Here is a 4,724-nt window from a genome sequence, read left to right on the forward strand (position 1 = left end):
TTCTGGGCATTTTACATGAAATGGAATAATACAACATGTAATCTTGTGCATCTAGCTTCTTACACTTAGCATAATGTTTTTGAGGTACATCTACATTATAGAATTTATCAACGCTTCATTCTTTTTTATGGCTGAATAATTCATTGTATGGATATACCACATTTTGTCTATCCATTCACCAGTTGATGAACATTTATGTTGTTTCTACTTTTTGGCTATTATGAACAATGTTATTATAAATATTCACTTCTAGAGCAGTTTGAAGCAAACCCCAGATATCATATCATTTCATCTGTGAATACTGCAGTATGTACCTTTACATTAAACACAGCAGTCTTTTAAAAAGCCAAACACAACACCATTATCACATGTGAAATAATTAATAATAAATCTTTAATGTCATAAACAATCCAATGAATGTTAAAATTTCCAATTATCTCTTAAATGCTGTAGGATTTTTTGTTTTACAGTTGGTTAGAACCAGGATCGAAATAAGCTCTACATATTGTGATTGGTTGATATGTATTTTAAGCATTTTTTATCTATATGTTCCCCTTCCTCCATCTCTCTCTCTCTCTTTATCCAATCTATTTGTTGAAGAAATGAGACCATTTGTTCTGTAGAGTTTCCCATATTCTGGATCTTGCTAATTGCATGTCTGTGATGTCTTTTACTGTGTTCCTCTGTCAGTTGTATTTCCTGTAAATTGGTAGTTGGGTTAAGGCTTGATGAGATTCACATTTGCCTTCTGGCAAGACTCCTTCAGAAATGGTGATATGTGCAACGGTGTCATCATGAGATGCATGATGTCTGGTCATCTCTCTTTTTGTGATGTTAGCAGCTACTGGGCATCATTGACTAGATTCTTTCATTCACGAGGTGGACCCTTTCTGAATGCAGCCTGAATGAGACTTTCTGTCCCTTTCAATCCAAAGGACCTAACTAGCCTGAGGAACTCATGTTTAAGCCGAGGTAGCAGCTCAGCATTGGTTCGGGGTGCTGGTGAGGGGTGCAGAGGGGAGGATCTGGAAACTCTGGACTGGTGGGAGGATCTGGAAACTCCATCATCATGACATCTGTGCATATGTGTGTGTTTTGGATGGAGCTACTTGGGTGGTAAGCATGGTCTAGCAAGGAGTCCCGCCCCTCCAGTTCTTGGGTTCTGTAATATTCGTACCGAACTTCTTCTTTTTTATTTTTTATTTTTTTTAGATGGAGTTTCGCTCTGTCACCCATGCTGGAGTGCAGTGGCGCAATCTCAGCTCACTGCAACCTCCGCCTCCTGGGTTCAAGTGATTCTCCTGCCTCAGCCTCTGGAGTAACGGGGATTACAGGCATGCACTACAATGCCCCACTATTTTTTTTTTTTTTTTTTTTTTTTTTAGTAGAGATGGGGATTCACCATTTTGGCCAGGCTAGTCTCGAACTCCCAACCTCAAGTGATCCACCAGCCTCAGCCTACCAAAGTGCTGGGATTACAGGCGTGAGCCACTGCACACAGCTCCATACTCAACTTCTTATATCCATACTACTATAACTTCCCTCAGTCTCCTCAGTTATTGGATCCCGTAAAATCCATACGCCTTGTTGCTTTCTGACTTTCCAATGTCTCTTCTCCACATCATCCCCTCCACACTGTGCCTTTTATCTTCTTGTTTCCTCATTAATCCTCCCTTACTCCCCCTCATTCATTACCCATCTTTCCATTTCTTACCAGTAACAGCCAGTTTGGGTACTGCATTATGCGGGAGTTGGGGGGTATCTAGCCCAGCAGGTCTGATTGCTACAGAACAGGCTAAGCACATTCTAGCAACTGATGGAGAAGATGGGAATCTGCTGGATGACAGTGTTTCCTTTTAACATTACTTTGTATTGGCCGGGCGTGGTGGCTCACGCCTGTAATCCCAGCACTTTGGGAGGCCGAGGCAGGTGGATCACGAAGTCAGGAGTTCAAGACCAGCCTGGCCAAGATGGTGAAACCCCGTTTCTACTAAAAATACAAAAATTAGCCAGGCGCTGTGGCAGGCGCCTATAATCTCAGCTACTCGGGAGGCTGAGGCAGGAGAATCGCTTGAACCCAGGCGGCAGAGGTTGCGATGAGCCGAGATCACGCCACTGCACTCTAGCCTGGGCGATAGAGTGAGAGTCCGTCTCAAGAAACAAACAAACAAACAAAAAAGCAAACAAACAACAAACCCCATTACTTTGTATTTGGCTTCCTATAGCATAGGTGAGTACCTGTTATCAAAACACGGGTGCAAAAGAGAGATGAAACAGGGATGCAAATGAAGAGAGGATGAAATGAACATTGCGCTGTGCAAAGGAAATGATTCACATTTTCACAAATTCAGTGGTCTTTTTATAAACTATACCTGTCAGCAGACCTCACTGTTTGAAGTAAACAAGCTCAAAAACCAGAAAAAAAGCAAACAAGGCTATCTTTTTTACTTGGTGGAAAGTGGTAGATGTTCTAAGTAGAGACGCAGCATAATTCAATTTCACAACTCTCTGAGAGCTGCTATGTGCCCAATGCTGACATGGTTTCTGCTCCTGTGGTTCTCATCAGCCCACTGGGGAGACAGACACACAGGAGAGAATCAGAGAACAGGAGATGGAAGCAAGCAAGTTGCTATAAGGTGGTTCATACATCAAATGCTGGGGGGAGGTCAGAGGTAGAAGAAGCTGATGTGGGCTGAGAACTTCTGGGAGGAGCTAAGACCCTAGCATCAGCAGTTCGTACCAGTGTGCTTGGTAACACCTCGGGGCCAACTGGACACTTTTCGTTCCTCTGTGCACAGAAAGCAGATCTTGCAAATCCTGGCGAAAGCCCATGCCCGAGTCCGAAAGAAAAGGCTTTGGGTGTCTGGGGCCGCTGCAGCTCCTGGTGTGTGCAATCAATTCCTAACTCAAGTGCAGAAGGCTTCCTTCCCTCAACCAGCCTGAGATACAGCATTCAAAGCACACCAGAGAAAGGTTGGGGGGCGGGGGGACGTTTCCAAGGTGAACACCGATTAGAGCCAGCTTTATTTTCATGAACTCATATGCATATTTTTAGCTCCCATATTTCCTGCTGGTTTGAAGAAGTGTATAAGCAACCATGTGGACAGCTGTGCTTCCCATCAGTGAGGCAGTGCTGGGAAGTAAAAAGAACATGGGTTCCGTGTGAACTTGAGAGGTTCTACAACCCCTCTGAGCCTTAATTTCCCCTTCTGTAAGTGGGGAAAGTGGGGCTAACAAGAGTAACTCATGGGAACTATCTAGTGGGGCTAACTAGAGTACCTCATTGTTTTAAGGATCAAATGATTGGTGTGAAAGTGCTCACAGCAGCGGATGGCAAGTAGTAGGTACTATTGTGATGATGATGGTGCAGTTCCGTGGCGTCCCATACAGGTAGCCCCCTGCGGTGTATGGGACCTCAGTATCTTCCAGGCGGGCATACCTCCGGACATCGCCAGCTCTGGGTGATTGTGAGGTGCCGCACGATGGGGTCTGACGGCAATTGCTCATCCTCAGCAGTTTAAAAATGACATTTGGTTGAGTTGCCGTAGGTGTTATGGATGCTTCCCCCTCCTTCATTTGCGTTTTGCTGAGTTGTCGTCAGATATTATGTGGTCGGATGTTCCCGAGAAGTGCAAGCCCCTCCCCGTGGGCCGCCCAGGGGTGGCCCGCGGGCGGTGCGGGCGACTAGCGGAGGTTGGAGTGGGCTTGTAGACTCGCTCTTACTCCCACCCTCTGGGAGGCCCCTAACCCCGCCCTTTCCCTGCTCGCGGCGAAGGCAAACTGCGCGCACGGCGCCCTCTAGTGCCCAGGAGCTGTCACTGCGCGGGTGCCCGCGGCCCCAGCTCTCCCCGCCCCACCAAGGGTGTTTGTGAAGATCCCTCGGCACGGCCGCATACCCCAATCTTCATTCCTGGGTGTCCTGACCATCCCCCACAGACCCATAAGACGCAGATCCGAGACCGCTTCTTGTTTGTTTATTTATTTATTTAGCTAAAAGTTTACTAAAACCGGGGGGCTCTGTCGGTTCTTGACTTTGCGGCACCTGCCCCCGAAGGCGCCGTCTCCTCCAGAGAACAGCGCCTGCGATAGGATTCAGCAGGGGTCACCCACACCCCTAACTCAACTCGAGGTGCGAGTCCCCATCTCGCAGCGCCCTCGCGACTGTCATCTGCTGCCTTCGCTACCATTTTTGTTTGGAGAAGCACTGAGAGGAGAAAGGGGCAGTCTACTCCTCACTAAACGTAACCCGGTGGCCCCAGGCGCAGCCCCATCTCCTCGGATGCCAGGAAGATGCCCGCGTGCCGCTCGCGCGCAGGCGCTGTCGTTTTAGAAAACCCGGTGTTTGGTCAGACTTAGACATCGATTTCTACCACCCTCGCAGCTTCTGTCTATTGCTTGGCAAACTGGTAGAGTAAACTGGATTTAACAAAGGGAAAATAAATTTGCCAGGGCCTGCTGTGCCGAAATGTGGGTTGCTATCAGCACGGGCGCTTAATGAGGACTGAATTATCATTAATACGTGGATGAAATTTATAGTGCTCATTAATACTTCTGAAAGACAACATTCCAGGCGTTGTCTACCTCTTCCCTCTGCAAATGTGGATGGGATTCAAAACGTGTGTCTGGCTCGCGAGCGCACTTTGAAAGGCAATTTAATTATCATTCATTTCTGAATTTGGCCATGGGGCTTGTAACACTGGCCTTCATTTCCCCCCTTCTCTGTG

The 4,724-nt window shown here is 47.1% G+C and overlaps 1 annotated feature.

Annotated features, from left to right (window-relative positions):
- Positions 3,590–3,639: a silencer, noted in NCBI's record as "silent region_21033". NCBI's record gives its function as "represses an Ori minimal core promoter by ATAC-STARR-seq in GM12878 lymphoblastoid cells {active_cell/tissue: GM12878}" and the evidence as "EXISTENCE:reporter gene assay evidence [ECO:0000049][PMID:35858748]".

Source organism: Homo sapiens, chromosome X, assembly GCF_000001405.40.
Source record: "Homo sapiens chromosome X, GRCh38.p14 Primary Assembly".
NCBI classification, from domain to species: domain Eukaryota; kingdom Metazoa; phylum Chordata; class Mammalia; order Primates; family Hominidae; genus Homo; species Homo sapiens.